The sequence below is a fragment of the Homo sapiens genome, assembly GCF_000001405.40.
Source record: "Homo sapiens chromosome 3 unlocalized genomic scaffold, GRCh38.p14 Primary Assembly HSCHR3UN_CTG2".
In the NCBI taxonomy this organism is placed as follows: domain Eukaryota; kingdom Metazoa; phylum Chordata; class Mammalia; order Primates; family Hominidae; genus Homo; species Homo sapiens.
In genome coordinates this window covers 28,392-48,929 of record NT_167215.1, presented here as the reverse complement: position 1 = coordinate 48,929, position 20,538 = coordinate 28,392, and the positions used below count along the sequence as shown (strand labels likewise).

At 41.9% G+C, this 20,538-nt stretch overlaps 2 long non-coding RNA genes across 22 annotated transcripts in view; one reads left to right on the top strand and one right to left on the bottom strand.

The window, feature by feature from the left end:
• Positions 1–20,538, top strand: part of LOC101928669 (uncharacterized) — a 75,950-nt gene that overhangs the window by 31,109 nt on the left and 24,303 nt on the right. Inside the window, exon 4 of one of the 11 annotated variants that reach the window (XR_007068515.1) lies at positions 11,095–11,174. The exons of the other annotated variants lie outside the window; for them this stretch is intronic. This is a non-coding gene — a long non-coding RNA (uncharacterized LOC101928669). Of the gene's footprint in view, positions 1–11,094; positions 11,175–20,538 lie in introns of those variants that run through there. 11 annotated transcript variants of the gene reach the window in all.
• Positions 1,299–20,162, bottom strand: LOC124905316 (uncharacterized). Of its 11 annotated transcripts, none has more exons than XR_007068517.1 (5): positions 19,426–20,162; positions 17,869–18,089; positions 12,333–13,247; positions 10,224–10,702; positions 1,299–1,336 (listed from the first exon to the last, which is right to left on the bottom strand). It is a non-coding gene; the product is annotated as an uncharacterized LOC124905316 (long non-coding RNA). The 11 variants fall into 11 exon arrangements; XR_007068516.1 differs by lacking the exon at positions 1,299–1,336 and adding an exon at positions 2,220–5,288; XR_007068519.1 differs by lacking the exon at positions 1,299–1,336 and having other exon boundaries at positions 10,042–10,376; positions 10,530–10,702.

Genomic DNA, 20,538 nt, shown 5'->3' with positions numbered 1-20,538 from the left:
CAAGCAATTCTGCCTCAGCCTCCCAAGTGTTTGGGATTACAGTCACCCTCGACCAGGCCCAGCTAATTTTTTGTGTGTTTTTAGTACAGACAGGATTTCACTATGTTGGCCAGGCTGGTCTCAAATTCCTGACCTCGTGACCCACGTGCCTTGGCCTGCCAACATGCTGGGATTACAAGTGTGAGCCACCACGCCCGGCCCCAACTTCTCCTAATGTTGCTATTTTGATCTTATTTTTTAAATCATGAATGTTCTCAATGACATCTAGAATGGTGAATCCTTTCCAGTAGGTTTTCAATTATTTTGCCCAGATCCATCAAAGGAATCACTTTCTAGAGAAGTTATAGCTTTATGAAATATATTTTTAAGTGATAAGACTTGAAAGTTGAAATTATTCTTTGATCCAAGGGCACCAGAATGAATGTTGGGTTAGTAGGCATGAAAACAATATTCAGCTCTTTGTACATCTCTGTAAAAGCCCTTGAGTACCAGGGGCATTGTCAGTGAGCGGTAATACTTTGAAAGGAATCTTATTTCTTGAGCAGTAGGTGTCAACAGTGGGCTTCAGATATTCAGTAAACCATATTTGTAAGCCGATAGTCTGTCATCCAGGCTTTGTTCCCATTTGTAGAGTACAGACAGAGCTGTGTTTTATCATAATTCTTCAGGGCCCTTGGATTTTCAGAATAGTAAATCATCATTGGTTTCAAGTTAACATCACCAACTGCATTAGCCCTTAACAAAAGAGTCAGCATGTCCTTTGAAGCCTTAAAGCCAGGCATCAACTCCTCTCTAGCTGGGAACATCCTAGATGGCATCTCCTTCTAGTAGAAGGCTGTTTTGTCTCCATTGCAAATCTATTTAGTGTTGCCATCTTAATCAGTTATCTTCTAGATAGCTTTCTGCAGCTTTTCCATCAGTACTTGCTGCTTTATCTTGCGCTTTTATGTTATGGAGATGACTTTTTTCCTTAAACCTCAAGAAACAAGCTCTTCTAGCTTCAGACTTTCCTTCTGCAGCTGCCTCACCACTCTCAGTCTTCATAGAATTGAAGAGAGGCCGGGTGCGGTGGCTGTCACACCTGTAATCCTAGCACTTTGGGAGGCCGAGGAGGGCAGATCACCTGAGGTCGGGAGTTCGACACCAGTCTGACCAACGTGGAGAAACCCCGTCTCTACTAAAAATACAAAAAAATAGCCAGGTGTGGTGGTGCTTGCCTGTAATCCCACCTACTTGGGATGCTGAGGCAGGAGAATGGCTTGAACTTGGGAGGCAGAGGTTGCGATGAGCCAAGATCACGCCATTGCACTCCAGCTTGGGCAAGAAGAATGAAACTCTGTCTCAAAAAAAAAGAAAAAAAAGTAAAAAGAAAGTTAGGCTTAGGCTTAATGGAATGTTTTTTGTTTTTTTTTCATCTTCTATCTAGACCAATTAAACTTTCTTCATAACAGCAGCAAGATCGTTTAGCTTTTTATCATTCATGTGTTCACTGGAGCAGTACTTTAAATTTCTTTCCAGAACACTTCGTTTGCATTCACAACTTGGCTAAGTGTTTGTTGCATGAGGTCTAGCTACTGGCCTGTTTTGCTTACAGCATGCTTTCCTCACTAAGCTTAATTATTTCTTCCTTTTGGTTTAAAGTGACAGACATGCAACTCTTCTTTCATGAACATATAGAGGCTATTGTAGGGTTATTAATTGGCCACATTTTAATATTAATAAAAAGAAGCCTGAGAAAAAGAGAAAGAGAAATGGCCCGTTGGTTGGGCAGTCAGAACAAACGCATTTGTCAATTGTTTGCTGTCTTATCCTGGTGTGATTTGTGGTTCCCAAAACAATGACAACAGTAGCATTAAAGATTACTGATTACAGATCACCACAACAGAGTCAATAATAAAAATCTTAAAATACTGTGAGAATGACCGAAATGTGACACAGAAACGTGAAGTGAGCACGTGCTGTAGGAACAATGGTGCCAGTGAGACCTGCTTATTGCAGGGTGGCCACAAACCTTCAATACGTAAAACACATGGTCACAAAACACAATAAAGCAAAGTGCAGTGAAACAAGATGTGTCTGTCTTTTGATAGACTCTGACAATCTCTACCTTTGAATTGGTACATTCATACCATTAACATTCAAAGTGATTATTGATATCATTGGATTAATATCTACTATATTTGTTACTGTTTTCTATTCATTCTCCTCAGTCTTCATTCTTTTGTCTACGACTCTTTTTCTGCCTTTTGCAGTTTTCATTGATGATTTTAGATGACTCCATTTTCCCTGTCTTTCTTAGTACGTACTTCTCTTTTTAAAACTTTTTTTTAACTAGTTGTCACAGAATTTGCAATATACATTTACAACCAATTCAAGTCCACTTTCAAATAACACTATCCAACTATCCCACAAATAAGACTACCTGCTTAACAAACAAAACACCTAATTCCTCAGTAACATTTACAACCAATTCAAGTCCACTTTCACATAACACTATCCCACTATCCCACAAATAAGACTACCTGCTTAACAAAGAACACACCTAATTCCTCAATATACATTTACAACCAATTCAAGTCCACTTTCAGATAACACTATCCCACTTCACGGGTGACTACCTGCTTAACAAAGAAAACACCTGATTCCTCCCTCCCATCCTTCCATTCCATTCCTTGTATTATTGTTCCTTATTTCACTTGTGTATAAGCATGCATAATCTATCTGTGTGTATTTATTATTATCTACAAACTTATTGGTCAGATCAATTATGAATAAATACATGTTTTTATTGTACCACAATGCCTCCCTACCATCCTTCCATTCCATTCCTTGTATTAGTGTTACTCATTTCAATTGTATATAAGCATACATAATATATCTGTATTTGTTATTGTCTATGATCTTCTTGGTCAGATCAATTAAGAATAAATACATAGGTTTTTATTGTACCACAATTCTTTCTTTAATGCTCTTTTTAAAAAAATGTTGATCCAGGTTTCAGTTATATATCTTTTGTTTCCCTAAAGAATTTCATTTAACATTTCTTGCAAGACAGGTCTCCTGGCAACAAGTTTCTTGAATTTTTATTTTTCTGAGGAAGGCCTTAATTCTCCTTCACTTTTGAAGGGTGGTTTCAGTGGGTACAGAAACTTAGGTTGGTGGGTTTTTTCTGTCAACATTTTGAATTTTTCATTTCACTGTCTTCTTACTTTCACAGTTTCTGAAATGTTGAATGCAGTTCTTATCTTTGTGTCTCTGTAGGTAAGGTGTTTTCTGCCCCACCTCTGGTTTCTTTCAGAGTTTTCCTTTATCTTTTATTTCATATAGTTTGAAAATTATATGTCCAAGTGTAGGTTGTTGGTATTTATTCTGCCTGGTGTTCTCAGAGCTTCCTGGATCTTTGGTTTGGTGTCTGACATTAATACTGGAAGTTCTCAGACATGGTTGTTGCAGAACTTTCTTCTATTTCTTCTCCTCTTGGTATTCTCATTACTGTTTCACCTTTTGTAGTTGTCCCACAGTCTTGAATATCATCTTCTGTTCTTTTCAGTGTTTCTTTTCTTTAGTTTTTGAAGTTTCTGATGATAAATCCTCAAGCTCAGAGATTTTTACTCAGCTGAGTCCAGTCTACTAATAAGCCATCAGAGGTATTCTTCAGTTATTTACCACGTTTTTCATCACTACATTATGTTGAAAGTTCTTACGATGTCTGTCTTTCTCATTACATTACCCGTCTACACTTGAATACTGTCTACTTCATTCATTAGGCCCTTAGCATATTCTCCAGAGGTTTAAAAAAAAATTCCAAGATCATATCTTTGTCTGCTTCTGAAGCTTGCTCTGTTGATACAAATTGTATTTTTTTCTTTTTTTGGATTTTAGTATGCCTTGCAATTTTTTCCCTTTATTCTGATGCATGAAGTACCCACTAAAAGTGACTGCTGTTAGTATAGCTTCAGTAATGCGGTGATGAGGTGACAGGGCAGGTGATGCTCTCTTAGTCTCTTTAGGCTACTATAACAAAATACTTCAGACTGAGTAATTCATAAACAACAGAGATTATTGTTCACAGACCTGGAGGCTGGAAAGTACAAGACTAAAGGGCCAGGATATTTGGTGTTTGGTGAAGGTCAAACATTCAGACACTCTCAACGACTATAGCGACAGCAGCAGTCTTCAGGAATCCTATGTGAGGGACAAACACTCAGAAGCCAGCTGGAGTGTTCTAGAATCCTATGTGAGGGCCAAACATTCAGACCCCAGCAGTAGTGTTGTGGAATCCTATGTGAGGGACAAACTTTCAAACCCTTGTAGCAGTGTTCTGCAATGCTATGTGAGGGACAAACATTCAGACCACGGGAGCAGTGTTCTGGAATTCTATGTGAAGGACAAACATTAAGACTCTCATAGCAGTGTCCTGGAATCATATGTGAGGGACAACCATTCAGACACCAGCAGAAGTGTTCTGGAATCCTAGGTGTGGGAAAAACATTCAGAACCTAGTAGCAGTGTTCTGGAATCCTATGTGAGGGACATACATTCAGACCACGGCAGCAGTGTTCTGGAATGGTATGTGAAGGACAAACATTCAGACCCTTGTAGCAGTGTTCCAGAATTTTATGTGAGGGACAAACATTCAGACCACAGCAGCAGTGTTCTGGAATCCTATATGACGGACCAACATGCAGACCCTTGCAACAGTGTTCTGGAATACTAGGTGAGGGAAAAATATTCACACCCTCATAGCAGTGTTCTGGAATTCTATGTGACTGACAAACATTCAGACTCCAGCAGCAGTGTTCTGTAATCCTATGTGAGGGACAAACATTCAGACCCCAAGAGCAGTGTTCTGAAATCCTATGTTAAGGGAAACATTGAGACCCCAGCATGAATGTTCTGGAATCCTATGTGAGGGACAAACATTCAGACCACGGCAGGAGTGTTCTGGAATCCTATGTGAGGAACAAACATTCAGAGCACAGCAGGAGTGTTCTGGAATCCTATAGGAGGTATAAGCATTCAGACCCTCATAGCAGTGTTCTGGAATCCTATGTGAGGGAGAAGCATTCAGAGCACAGCAGGAGTGCTCTGGAATCCTATGTTAGGGACAAACATTCAGAACCTCGTAACATTGTGCTGGAAACCTATGTGAGGGACAGACATTTAGACCCTCGCAGCAGTGTTCTGGAATCCCATTTGAGGGTCAAACATTCAGATCCTCGCAGCAGTGTTCTGGAATTCTATGTGAGTGACAAACATTCAGACTCCAGCAGCAGTGTTCTGTATTCCTATGAGAAGGACAAACATTCAGAATCCAGGAGCAGTGTTTTGAAATCATATGTTAAGGGCAAACATACAGACCCTAGCATCAATATTCTAGAATCATATGTGAGGGACATACATTCAGACCCTCACAGCAGTGTTCTGGAATCCTAGATGGGGGACAAACATTCAGACCCCAGCAGCAGACTTCTGGAATCCTATGTGGAGGACAAACATTCAGACAATGGCAGCAGTGTTCTGGAATCCTATGTGAGGGACAAACACTCAGAGCCTTGTAGCAGTGTTCTGGAATCCTATGTGAGTGAGAGTGCCTGGAGCCTACCCAACCTGACGCCCCCAAAGCCTTCACAGGGTCTGACCTCCCAGCATGCACCTGCCTCTCCCTGAACCCCAACTGCCCACCCTGCCTTTTCCCTGGCCTCCTCCATCCTGTGCAGCCCATAGACTGTGACCATCTCTCCAGCCACTCTGGCCCTTCCTTTACCTTTGTCCTGTCAGAATCTCTGAGCAGGATCTCCCAGGTCCATCCAAATACGTGCTTTGTCCACTTTTGACTAGGCCCTTGGGCATCACTGGGCTATCCCAGCTGTCCACAGGGCCTTCAATAATGCACATTGCACCTGGCTTATCCAAGCAGTGCTCAGCAGCCCACATTGACCAGGTCCCTGCTGACCAGACCCCGCACATCAGGTCCTCCCTGATGACACCCTCACTGATTAGACCCTCATGACCAGGCCCCACTCACAAGGCCCCCACTGCCAGGCACACAATGACAAGGACTCCACCGACCAGGACCTTACTGACAAGGCCTCACTGACAAGGCTTCACGGACCAAGTCCTTACTGACAAGTCCTCACTGACTAGGTCATTATTGACAAGGCCTCACTGATCAGGTTCCACTGATCATGAACTCATTCCCTGGCCCAAAGATGAGGCCCCACTGACCAGGCCTCCAGGGAACAGGTTGCCACTGATCAGGCCCCTAATAATGAGGCCTTATGTCACCAGATGCCCCTGACTGGGACCCTAGTGAGTAGACCCCACTGAACTGGCACCAAATGCTGAGATTCCCGCTGACCAGGTCACCCTGTAGCCCGGTGCTACAAAAGTCACCACGGACCAAGTCCTCTCTGACCAGGACACTACAGATTAGGTCCCGCCGACAAGGCTGCCCTGACCAGGGCCCCACTGACAAGGGCCTCACTGATGAGGACACGCCCACCAGGGTCTGCTGACTAGGTCCCATGTGCCCAGTCCTGCACTGAGTAGCACCCCTTGACCTGGTCACCAGTGCCCCAGCCCATGCTGACCAGACCAGCACTAAGCCCCAGCTGACCAGGTCTCCACTGATCAAGCCCCACAGCCCAGGTTTGCACTGACCAGACACCAAACAACTGGCAGCCAATAGGTCCCCACTCACCAAAACCCCCACTACTAGACCCCACTAATGAGACCCTCTCTAAGCAGACCCCTGCTGACCACTATCCCACTAAATAGTCCTCACTGACCTAGGTCCACTGACCAGGCCCACACTGATCAGGCCCCTCCTAACCACACTGGAAATCCAAGCGGCAATGACATGTTTCATATGGCAGAAGTTGGAACAAGACAGAGAGAGGAAAGAGGTTCCACAGCCTTTTAAACTACTAGATCTCATGAGAACTCACTCACTATCAGGAGGATGGCATTAAGGGCTTGGTGCTTTGCCATTTGTGAAGGATCCACTCCCACTCCTTTATGATTAAAGCTTTTTCCACCTAGGCCCCGACTCTAACATTAGAGAGTGTACTTTCACATGAGTTTTGGAAGGGGCATAGAGAAAAACCGTATTATTCTGTCCCTGACCCCACAAATCTCATGTCCTTCTCACATTGCAAGATACAGTCATGCCTTGCCAGCAGTCTCCCAAAGTCTTAACTCATTTCAGCATTAACTCAAAGTTACAAAGTGCAAAGTCTCATCTGGGTCAAGGCTACATTCTCTTTTGCCTACAAGTCTCTGAAATAAAAAGCAAGTTCACTGCGTCTAAGGTACAATGATGGTACAGGCATTGTGTAAGCTTTCCATATCCAAAAGAGAGACATTTTCCAGAAAGCTTCTTATTTTTATCTGAGGCCCCCTCAGCCTGGCCTTCACTGTCCATGTTTTTGTCAGCATTCTTGTCACAGCCATTTAACCAGTCTCTAAGATGATCCAAAAATGTTCTCATCTGCCTGTCTTCTTTGGAGCCCTCCAAACTCTTCCAACCTCTACCCATTACCCAGTTCCGAAGTTGCTTCCACATTTTCAGGTATCTTTATAGCAATGCTCCAGTCCTCATTTGCCATTTTTGGTAAGATTTATCTTGAAAAAGAGGTTTAATTGGCTCATGGTTCTGCAGAGTGGACAGGAAGCTTAGTGCTTCTGCTTCTGGGGGGCCTCAGAAATCTTTCAATCATTGTGCAAGGTAATGAAAGAGTGAATTGTCTCACATGGCAAGAGGAAATCACGGAGAGTAGGGAGTGATATAGAGTTTTCAGTGGCCAGATCTCACGAGAAGTTACTCATGATTGTGAGGACAGTACCAAGGGGATGGTGCTGAACCACTCATGAGAAATTTGCCTTCATGATTCAATCACCTTATACCAGGATCCACCTCCAACATTAGGAAGCATAATTCAACAAGAGATTTGGTGGGGACACATATTCGAATTGCCTCATCAGTCTTTGAGTATAAAGACATCCATAGCAGGCTTTATCCAGCCAGCTTCTTTGGGATTCTTTATAGGGTTTCAGATCTATAGGATATCCACTAAAATATTCCTACTTCAAAAGACAATAAAGTAAGTGGTATTATCATTCTTCAAAAAGTTATAATGGTAGTGTAGGCATTCATAGTATGATTTAGTTCATTTGCTACTGTTTCTATTCTATCACCATATTAACACTTTCGTACACAATTCTATATTCATCTGGGTTTCAGTTGAGCACAAAGTCATCCTTGTACTACCACCGATAGCTGGCACCAGCTCTTTGATACTGTTATCATTCTGCTGTAGAAAGTACCCGTGAACTGGAAAAAGTCCACACTCGAATAGCTAGTCATTCAACACTATCAAATTTTAGGTGACTTTTTGAAAAAATAGTATCTCTTTTTGCAAGAAATGCTCCATCTGTGATTTCAAGTCTCTCACTTGAGTGAATTGGATGGAAGTGGTGAATTTCAGCCAAAGTGGCCAAAGAAATCCTGTTCCTGTGATAATGACTCCATCAGCCTCTGCACCTCTGTCTTCCCTTCTGCCACATGTTGTCTGTTCTCCGTGACTTTGGTAAGAGCTTCCTTGTGTATGTAAATGATGTCCAGGATGTTTGTCTTGTGTCCCTGAGACAGCACTGACAGGTCCATGGCTGGGTCCAGGTCCTTCCTGGACTGACTGGCAAAGAGCTCACTGACAGAGTGGAAGGCATCTATACTGAAGTGGATGGCCTGTTCCAGCTCCAAGGCCTGGCTGAGGCTGAAGAAGAACTGTCAGGCTTCTGATGCTCTTTCTCAAAGCCTGCCACCACTCATTGGCTGTGAAGTTGACCTGAGTGCCCTGTTGTCCATCTTCTTGGTGAAGCACTTGAAGCCATCAATCTTGCTCTCCCACTCCTAAAAGTTGAGTGTCACACTGGGGGTGGGCTCAGGGCCAGGAAGAATCTGGCACTCACCATCTCATCCTTCTCAGCCTTCCTCTTGCCCTGTCTCCAGGCTATCTCTTCAGTGCTGGTGGGGCACATCAGGAAGTGACAAAAAATGTGGCACTGCACCTGCATCCAGAAGCTGGCTGTGTGGTTCATCTACAAGATTGGGCCCTTTCTGCACTTGAACATAGATCCACTTCACCATAGATGCCTTCCACACTGTCAGTGAGCTCTTTGCCCATCAGCCCAGGCAGGATCTGGACCCAGTCATGGACCTGTTAGTGCTATCTCAGGGACACCAGGCCAACATTCTGGACATCATCCACGTACACAAGGAAGCTCTTACCAGAGTCCTCCTCAAGATGGCCTGTGGTCTGCCTCTTGGCACCCGAGAAGCCCACAGTGCTGTAGAAGCCCCGATGCTTGGACTGGAGCCCCAAAGGCGGCACACACCCCACTTCTGAGCCTGCTGCTCATTTCCTCTATGTGGCTCCATTTGCAGCACATTTGTTGCACTGAGACCTGTGCATGCCAGGCAAAGCCAAGCTGGCTCAAAGAGCAACCACCCACCTCTGCAAGGGTGTGCCAGGAGCCAGTGGACCAGCCACCAACGTCACTCCCTGCCAGTCAGGGTAAATCAGTTATTCTGCCCTGGAGGTGGAGCCCCAGTGCCATCTGCTTTTCCTCAGGCCTCCACTCCATCAGCTGTCAGGTGGTGGTCACTCAGACTGTGGGAAACTGGCCATCCCTGTTTCCTTGAGTGCGTGAGGTTGGTGACTGCTCCACCTGCTACTGGCATACCCTTGCAGAGGTGGCTGGTTGCTCTTTGAGCCAGCTTGGCCTTGCCTGGTATGCACAGGCCCCAGGTACTGAGAAGCTGCTCCGAGTAAGTTTGTCTTGGGCCAAATTCTAAGTCTGGCCAGGACCACAGAAGGCCGAGTCCCCTGGGTGGTAATCCTGGCTGCTGCAGGGGGGCCCATGCTCCCCCTCCCCTCCCAGGGCTCAGGATGAGGTCCGACTGGGAAAAGATGCTTTAGGTATGGGACTTGTGCCCCAGGAGGGGACCTCTGTCACACACGTTGGGTGAAAATATGTATGGCATGCTGCTGGCTGCCAGGGCTGTTGGGATGCACGTTCACCCTTCCCTTCAGGGACCTCAAAGTGACCAGCTTCCCCTTTATGAGTGACTTCCCAAGGCCCAGGAGCCATTTGGGGCTGCAGAGCAGCTGGCTGCATGCTGCTCTGGCTTCTTCCATGTTGTGCTGGTCACTACCTACCAAGGGGTGTCAGATGCAGGCACAATGTAGGACGATTGTCTCTGGGCCTGTGTCTTGGTTATCATGGAGCTAGACTGGGCCTGGTGACAGGGCCCTGATGGGGTTGTCCTGTGTGGTCACGGAGGTGATCAGAAAAGATGCAGAATGGAATTGCTGCGAGGATGAATGAGATGACTGTCAGCACATAACAGGCAGCTGGTGAGTGTTCAGGGATTACCCTCAGTAGCTGCCCAGAGACCAAAACCATCCACCTGATAGTGACTTTTCCCAAGCCAGAAGGAAGAGAAAAGAGCAGGTCCCACTCACCTGAATCTGATCAGTGAGCTGTGTTGAGATGTGCCTCTCATCTAGAAAATGGTCCTTCACGCAGAGCTACTCACAGACACTGCTGTGTGTCTCTAACTGCTCCACAACACAGAGGCGATGGGGACTCAGCAACAGTGACATTGTGGGGTGACACAACCCACCACCATGGGAGTCTGCTTGGGTCAACAGGGCCCAGAGTCAGTGTCCTCTATCCCCTGAACTGACATGTGTGTATGCAATGTATTTGTGTATGCATATGTGCCTGTGTGTGTGTGAGTGTGTATGTGTGTGTTTGTCTTGCTTCTCTGGACAGGCCTAGCTTCTCCACTCATGGGTGCACCCAGGTCCTCATCACTGTCACCTTAGAGCATTAGAGCCTCTATAGGTGCTCCCCAATCTCTGCCCTCCCCACCCATGGTGGTCCTGGGGATGCAGACAGAGGAGGGGCACTGCATAATGCTGAGAGGGCTGGCACCCTCTCTAGGTGGAACACAGGTCATTTGTAAAGTTGTAGGTCTGCCAAGCAGTATTGGATTCAACACATCTTCTCACCTTCTCTTTCCAGCCACCCTCCAGGGTGCCCCGACTCACTTTCCCTGCAGATGGAGGCAAGGAGACTCCACAGACAACCCCCCTGCCTGAGGTCACATAGTGGCCAGCAGGCCAGGTACTGACAAACTGCCCCTGACCAGGTTCCCAGTGATGAGTGATGAGACCCCTAATGACCACTCCTCCATTGACCAGGTCCCACTGATCAAGTCCCCACTGACCATGTCTTCCTAACCAGGCCCACACTTAATAGGCCTCATGGGCCAGACCCCACTGACCAATTTTCCACTGACCTGGTCCCCATTGACAAGACAGGGTTCCCACTGACAAGACCACAATTTACCAGGTTGCTGCTCAACCGACCCCCCACTGAACAATTCTCCATGAACGAGTACCCAGCTGACTGAGCCCCCTCTGACCAGGCCCTCACTGACCAGGCTCCAAGCCACTAAGGCCCCACACTGACCAGGCCCATGATATATTGTGTATGCCCCACCAACCAGTTTTTCATTGTTTATGTTCCAACAGATCAGGCCCCACTAATAAAGCCACCATTGACTAGGTCCCCCCACTGACCAGGCTTCCAATGACTAGGTCACCAGGTCCCCACTGATGAGGCCTTTACTGAGGAGGCCGCCACTAACCAGGCCCCTGCTGATCAGGTCCCAAATGACCAGGTCCTGATGACCAGGTCATCTCTGACCATGGTCCACTGACCAGGCCCCGGAGCAACGGGGTTCAAAGTCTCATTACAATGTCCCCCTCAGCTCATAGACCCTCCCTCCCTGCATGTGTGCCCAGAGGTCAGGCCCTGGGGTTTTTTTTTGGGACGTGGCCTTTCCTCCAAGACACAGGGAGAGACAGTTGGCCTCAGGCTCCAGGTTCCCAGCTCCACACTCACCCCAAAGGCCCTCTGGGCCCGTCTCAAAGGAGAAAGTGAGGTGGCCTGATACTGCCTGGACACACCATCTACCCTATTCCTGAGTGTCAGGGTGTGAGGAAGGGAGGGACATTTGGCAGATAAGGCACGCTGTGCTGTTGGGTCTCTCAGGGCCCTTCCCACAGAGCCCCGATCTAAAGACAGAACACAGAGGCTACAGGAAGACTAATCCAGAACCTCTGAGACAGCCAGGGACCACATGAGGACTCTCCCCAGACAGCCAGAAGGCCCTTTGCTAGTTTCTTGGTACTTCAGTGGATGTGGCAGTGGTTCTTCTGTTGGGGACCAGTGAGTACACACTGGGGAAGGCTCACCTGTGCTTCCTCAGTGGCTCCACCTCTGCTTCTAAAAAAAATGACTCATTCCAGAGCTGGCGCAGAGAAAATACAAGCTGAGCTTAGAACATCTTCTGCCAGAAAGTAAAAAAGTGCCGACAGAGTAATGGAGACAAATCAAAGAGACATAAAGTCAGCTTGGAATGTCTACTACTGGCCTAATCTTGGGGAATTGGAGCATCAGAATCATGAGCTTTCCTTCTCCCTTATTTATTGGTTTTATTTCTCCATGTAGAACAAAGAAGAGAATAAGAAAATAATCATCTGGTAACCATCATAGTAATAATTGTTCAAACACAAGTCATCCATGAAATGCTAAATCTAGTGGGTTCTGAGGAGTAACCAGATATTTACAGAGCCTCAAAGTATCTCCATACAAAATACAGTTGAACTACAAAAAGAAAATTGTAACATTAGCATGGACAAACCTGGCAGGTACTCCTTAACTCTCCTAAGTAATAAAAACTGTAAAATGCAAATAAGCCTTCGATGACCTTTACTAACCTTTACTAAAGTATCAGTGATGACTTGGTTGTTTAAACAGCTGACATTTGGGCAATTTGAGTATGTCAAACTCAATAATACTGGTTTTCATTTGCAAGATCCACTTAAAACTTAAGGAGGCCAAAAAACATCATTTAAAATACCCTATAAATTATAATCATACATATGATACAAAAATATCCTACTTCAGTAAATATTGGAATGTTATATATTTTATGAGAAACAATTAAAATGTGTAAATAGCCCAGTAATAAAGTTTTATAATCTTTTAAATCATCATAGAATTTTTCCTTAAGACTTTATGGTTAAATATTCTCTTCATTAGATGTGGCTTACCCGTGGATTCTAGAGAAGAAAGTAGATGGGAGCAAGTGTCCAATACAGCAACAGCTGGAAAGAAAAATAAAGAATTTTGTTCTTTACCTAAAACACTTCAGTTAACTAAGTGTGAGTTTAAAAACTAAAGACTTGAGAACTTTATCAGAGTTAATAAGAATGAGAAATATGTATGTACATTTACAATACAAAATTACTATTTAATAATTTACACATGGCATTAATTCTAATTGTGTTTAAATATCAGAACTTTTTCAGTCTTCATTCATGTAATCAACAGCCACATGCTAAGGTACTAGAACCAGCATTGGAATTACAAGATGAAGATGGCATGGTCCACCTCTCAACAGTCATAAGCTATAACCTAAAAAACAGACAGGCAGGCAATGTCCATATAGAGTCATAGATACCGTGACAGGTATACAGCAGGGCACTACTGGAACACAGAGAAGGGACATCTACCCACTTTTATGTCAATATCATGGGCTTTCTGGTGGAGGAGATAACATAGGTTGATACCTGAAGGACAAGGAAAAGCTTCCCAGATAGAGGAAAGAGGCAAAGACAAAGAGCCTGAGGTGAGGAAGAGCCCTGCAGAGTTCCACTCCATCCAGTTTGGTGCTAGAGCAAAGGGCAGAGTGCAGTAAGTGGTGAGAAACAAGGCTGAGTAACTTGGCAAGAATTACATTGACATGGGTGTTTTTATTTCATGGTGAAAAATTTGGAACTTTTCCTGAGAACAAGTGTAAGCCAATGACACAGTAAATTAGAGGAGATTTAAAATGTCACCTGTCAAGTGACTGTTTATGAAGGGTTATTGCTCAGCTAAGTATTTCTGAATGAGTCTTAGGTCTGTTGGCCTTCAATCTCTACCGAAACCCTGAGAACTTGATGATGCTTTTGTTTTCTGAGAATCGTTTCAGTGTGCTGGCTGACAGTTCCATGAGGATGGCAAAACTTAAGAAACTGTAGAGCCAGTGAAAAAGAGATGCACAGACTTCTTGGGAACTGTTTAAGCTTAGGAACATGATGAATTTATGGTGCATAAGTACAGTCTTCTCTGTGAAAGTTTTTGTTTTCACATCTTTCATTAGATGTGTGTAAGAAAAAAATATTGATGTAGTATCTACTAACCCAAGAATGAAAAGGAATGCCATTTGCTATTTACACTTTATTTCTAAAATAAACCTAAATTTAATTAATAAATTTTGTCAACGTACTTCTCTTTGTTTCTCTAATTATTTATTCTACACAGTCCAGCCCCATCTAAAATAAGTAAAAATAATAATAATGTCTAAATTAAACAAGAAACATTATCATGAAAATCATGTATCACTTACAAAATGTGGCCTTTAGTATTTTTAGTGACTAGACATAACTTGAAGTTTGCTTAAATAGAAAAATAATCACATAAATAAAATAAAATTTCTACTTATTTTAAGTTTAGATAACAGAGGATGTATATGTGTAATGCTGTTTAGAGTAATCTGACAAAAATGCAGTTAATATTGATCTATTGCATATACATGATTTTAGAAAGGTAGTGTTTTATTAGTACAAAGGTTAAACAATGGCCAGGCATGGTGGCTCATACCTGTAACCCCAGCACTTGGGGAGGCCAAAGCAAGCAGATCACAAGGTCAGGAGATCGTGACCATCCTGGCCAACATGGGGAAACCCCATCTCTACTAAAAATACAAAAATTAGCTGGGCGTGGTGATGTGCACCTGTAGTCCCAGCTACTTGGGATACTAAGGCAGGAGAATTGCTTGAAGCCAGGAGGTGGAGGTTGCAGTGAGCCAAGACTGCACCACTGCACTCCAGCCTGGTGAGAGAGTGAGACCCTGTCTCACAAAAAAAAAAAAAAAAAAAAGATTAAGTAATTAAAGCCATCTTTTGCAATGAATGCATTGCTTTGAAATTCTTAGAAAACTCTGCCCTTTATAAAAGTTTAATCCATTTTTTACTTCAATAAATTTTATCTTAAAAAGAAATTTCTGTTCTCTACTTATAGTAAACTTTTCTCTTTTTTTTCTAGTTTGTATTCTAAATTAACGTGGTACCCCTGTAAGTTTCTTCCAAAGGCATATTGAGGGATACCGAGGTTTGCAGTACAATTAAACCCATCACACAGGTTGTGAGCATAGGACCCAAGAAGTAGTTTTTCAACCCTGGCCCACTCTGTCCCTCCCCATTCTTATTTCCCAGTGTCTATTATTCCCACCTTTATGACAATGTGCACCCAATATGTAGCTCCCACATGAGTGAAAACATGAGATATTTGGTTTCTGTTTCTGCGTTGGTTTGCTTAGGAGAGTGGATTCCAGCTGTATTCATGTTGCTGCAAATGATGTGATTTTGTTCTTTTCATGGCTGCATAGTATTCCATGGTATATATGGAATTTTCCAATCTACCTTGGATTTTCAATCTACCTTGGATGTACCTGGATTGACTCCACGTCTTTGCTATTGTGAATAGTGCTGCAATGAACATACATGTGTATACATCTTTTTGTTACAATGATTTATTGTCCTTTCGGTATACCCCTAGTATAGTAATGGGGTTGCTGCATCCAACAGTCATTCTTAGTACTTAATTTCCAAACTGCTCTCCATAGTAGCTGAATTAATTTACATTGCCACAAACCGTTTGTGTTCCCTTTTCTCCACAGCCTCCCCAACATCCTTTTTTAAGTTTTTATTTATTATTTGTTTTTAACAAAAGTCATTGTGACTGGTGTGAAATGGTATCTCATTGATGTTTTGTGTGGCATTTTTCTGATGATTAGCAATGGTAAGCATTTTTTAATGTTTGTTGGCCACTTACGTGTGTTATTTTGAGAACTGTCTGTTCATGTCCTTTGCCCATTTATAATGGTCTTATTTATTTTTTGCTTGTTGATTTGTTTAGGTCTCTTATGGATTCTGGATAATAGGCGTTTGCTATATCCATACTTTGTGAATATTTTCTTCCATTCTTTTAGGCTTTCTGTTTAATCTCGTGATAGTTTCTCATGCTGTGCAGAAGCTATTTAGCTAAATTAGATCACACTTGTCAATTTTTGTTATTCTTGCAATTGCTTTTGAGGACTTAGCCATAAATTAATTGACAAATATGATATCCAGAAGAGTATTTCCTAGGTTTTTTCCAGGATTTTTATAGTCAGAAGATGTACTCTTATGTAAAGAAAGCACAAACCTTTTTTTTGTTTTGTTTTGAGACAGAGTCTCCATCACCAAGGCTATAGTGCAGTGGTATGATCTTGGCTTACTGCAACCTCTGTCTCCTGGGTTCAAGTGATTCTTCTGCCTCAGCCTCCTGAGTATCTGAGATTACACATGCCTGCCAACACGCCTTGCTAATTTTTGTATTTTTACTAGAGACAGGTTTCATCATGTTGGCCAGGCTGGTCTCAAACTCCTGACGTTAGGTGATTCACCTGCCTCGGCCTCCCCAAATTTTGGGATTACAAGTGTGAGCCACCATGCCTGGCCAAGCACAAAGCTTTTAAAATAAAAAGGGAAATGAACATTTTAGTGTTTTGTTTAATTCATAAAATGCAATTATTTTGGATTCTACTAAATAATAAACATCCATATGTGGCAAAGTGGATGCTAATCATTCAGTTGTGATTATGGGTGGGAAGAATTGAGATGGTGCAAATAAACTTTTTTAATTTTTTTTTTATTTTCAAGATGGAGTCTTGCCCTGTCACCCAGGCTGGAGTGCAGTGGTGCAATCTCAGCTCCTGCAACCTCCGTCTCCCAGGTTCAAGCAATTCTCTGCCTCAGCCTTCCTAGTAGCTGGGATTACAGGTGTCCACCACCACACCAGGCTAATATTTTTTTTGTACTTTTAGTAGAGTTGGGGTTTCACCATCTTGGCCAGGCTGGTCTTGAACTCCTGACCTCGTGATACACCTGCCTCAGCCTCCCAAAGTGCTGGGATTACCGGCATGAGCCACCACACCTGGCTGGTGCAAAGAAACTTTAAAAGTGGCATGGGCCGGGTGCGGTGGCTCATGCCTGTAATCCCAGCACTTTGAGAGGCTCAGGCAGGCAGATCACAAGGTCAGGAGTTCAAGAAGAGCCTGGTCAATATGGTGAAACCCTGTCTCTACTAAAAATGCAAACATTAGCTGGGTGTAATGGTGGGTGCTTGTAGTCTCAGCTACTCAGGAGGCTGAGGCAGGAGAATCACTTGAACCCGGGAGGTGGAGGTTGCAGTGAGTGGAGATGGCACCAAGACACTCCAGCCTGGGTGACAGAGTGAGACACTGCCTCAAAAAAAAGAAAAAAAAATGTGGTATGAACCACAGCTAAACTATAATCAATTAGAGAGTAAGCCAGACCATCTCAAAGTATATCATCACTTATCAGGCAATAACATGCAATTTCTAAAACCTAACTTAAATGCAGCTTTTAAAGACATTTCAAACATGTCAGTTTAGTCACATTTATTGAATAAAGTTAGCAAATGGATATCTCTTGAAAATGAGAGCTCCAGGGAATTAAAAAATGTAAAGTTCCCATTTCCTTTCTGTGTTAACACAGCTAATTATGATCTTTACTTCACATGCAAAAGTCAACAGAACAACTCAGTATTTCACCAAATTATAAACAAGAATTACGCTAGAGAAATGAAACCCTAAAGAGAAACGGTCATATAACTAACCTCAGTCAAGTAGTTCTGGCAGTTATTTGAAGTCTGAGGTTTGAAGTAGGAATTCTTACGGGCATTTGGGGAATATATTTTCTGTTGAGTCCTATACTAGTAAGATTTTCAACACAAGGTGACTCTCGACCTCGCCTTGTAGGAAGAGTGCTGAGAAAATATTTCACCTGCTCTTTCTCCATAAAGAGCTGATACTGATCATTGCTATTTTCTTATTCAATCTGTAAAGGTAGCAAAGACAAATGCTTAATATTTCATTTTTCCTTAAATGATTCTTAATGACTTGCAGTTTTTAAAAACTTACCCTGAGAGTAAACCAAATTACCCACTAAATAGTGTTTTCACACAGAAGATGTGTAAGAGCATACCTGTTGTAAGGAATTATAATTTTAAAATCATTCTAAAGAAGCACCATTGTTTCTAAGGTGATTTCTACTGAACTAGCAGTTCAAACAAAGTAGACAGGGAAGAGAAATGGCTATCAGTAATGTATGGCTCAACAGGTAAAACTTCCTGCCTTCTAAAATGGCTGTACTTGGAAGATTCTGAAGATTCCATTAGAAATACTTGTATTTAAAGGGTAATAATGTGGGAAAATGAATATGTTGATTTGCTTGATTATAAGAACCACTTCACTAGAAATAATTATATCAAAACATCATGTTGTACTCCTTAATGTAGGTTAAGAAAACTAAAATGAACGAAAAAAAATCTAGGAACACTTGTGTTTAGTAAACCAGTTTTAGATTTCACTCTTGTACATTTCACCCATTATCTAGGACCAATTAAACATTTGGCACTGAGGAATAATTCAGAGCAACAACTCCTAGGGGAGAACTAGATTGTCTGGTTGGTGATCAAAAAGAATTAAAGCATCTCTGAAGACAATTAGTCCCCAACACTGTGACCAAGGCCCTGGAGGTGGGGCATGTTTTTTCTGCCTTCCACACACCGCTTCAGGCTGAACAAGGTGTTATTTTTTAACCGCTTTGTGAATTACACTTCTTTAAATTCCTGTGATAATTATTCCCTATTTCACAAGGGTGCCTTTCTGTAACATCTTGAATATGTTACACAAATAGTCTTTCTTGCGGCACCCTCTGGTGATAATACTAAAGATCACAATCAAAAACAATTGTGCCCAGAGTAGAAGTACCACTTTGCATTTAGGTTGTGATCCACTGAAAAGTAAATTAAACACATTAATATTTCTATTTAGGGAAATTCTGACAAGTAATTTTATAACAAGGTCACTTCATTGATTATAAAGCTTCAAAAATACTTAGTGAAAAAAACTAACAGATCAGGTTAATTACATGAGACTTTTCAGGAAAAAAAGCCATACAAAAGCAAAAAAAAAAAAATGAGAGGAGAGACAAAAACTATCTTTGACTAACATTTTAAAGGTAAAATTATTTACTAACATTATTTTTCAAAATTACATTGTCAAATTAGCATTCACTTCCTTCTAATCTGAAGCCATCTCAATAAAAATTATGCTTTTGAAACAAATTAATGAGCTTAATTCATTTTCTATGAGTGTATGTTTTGACTTACTTAGTTAATTTTTTTGACATGGAACTGTTAGCTTTCAATGCTGCTGCAAAGGCTTCCTTATATTCTTCTAACTCAGTTGTAACCTCTTCATAAGCAGTTTTCATTTTGTAGAATTTACATTCCACATCTTTAAGTGTGAGTTCCTTCTTATTTAGTGAAGCTGTATTATATCCTTGTTTAACTGCTCTAATTGTTTTTTATATTGTGCTTGTTCCTAAAACAGAGGAAAAGAATACACTTTTAAAACAATTATAACCTAATTATTATGTTTGTTGCCTTTCATTTTGAGTCAGCGATTCAAAGAGTATTTTTGAATATGTTAAAAAAGAGGATGAAGTTTAAAATATTTCAGCAATATCAAAACTAATAACTGAATTCAGAATTAAGTCTGATTTGTAAAAATTTGAAATCATAATTATGCTAGTATTAATGTAATCTGGTCATATAAAAAGTAATAGAATCCATTCATAGTTTTAAAAAGTGATCAATGAACACTGTAGCTTAAGACCAATTCATAATTATCACATAATTTCTAAATCACAATTTTTTCCTATGCCAACTGGTCTTAATCATCAAATTACTCCATAATGAGAATCATTACTCTGAAAGATTGATTTTGTTATAATAATAATGGAAATTTAAATATTTAAAAGAAAAAACAGATACCATTTTTTTCTAGAACTCTACAAAGCAGATTGCTACAAGAGAGGTAATCTCTCTCTCTCTCTCTCTCTCTCTCTCTCTATATATATATATATATATATATATCTCCAAAATATAATTTGCAGTGAAATAAATGAAAGCACATTACAAGTAAACTTACCTGATTTAAACAACTCACCTGTAAATGGATTTCTTCTAATTTTTCTACTGCCTGCATTGCCCTTTCATCTAGCTCTGATTTATATTCTTGTAGTTTACTAAGTTCTACCATACTGTTTTCCATATGTGTCTTAAGATTTAATATTTCTTCTTCCAACATCTTTTTATCCTCCTCAAGTTTTTCACATTCCTGTTGTACTTTTTTCATAGATAATAACTCCTGTTGAAAAACTTGATTCTCTTTAGCCAAATTGACACATTTTGAAGATACAGCTTCCTTCTCCACCATAA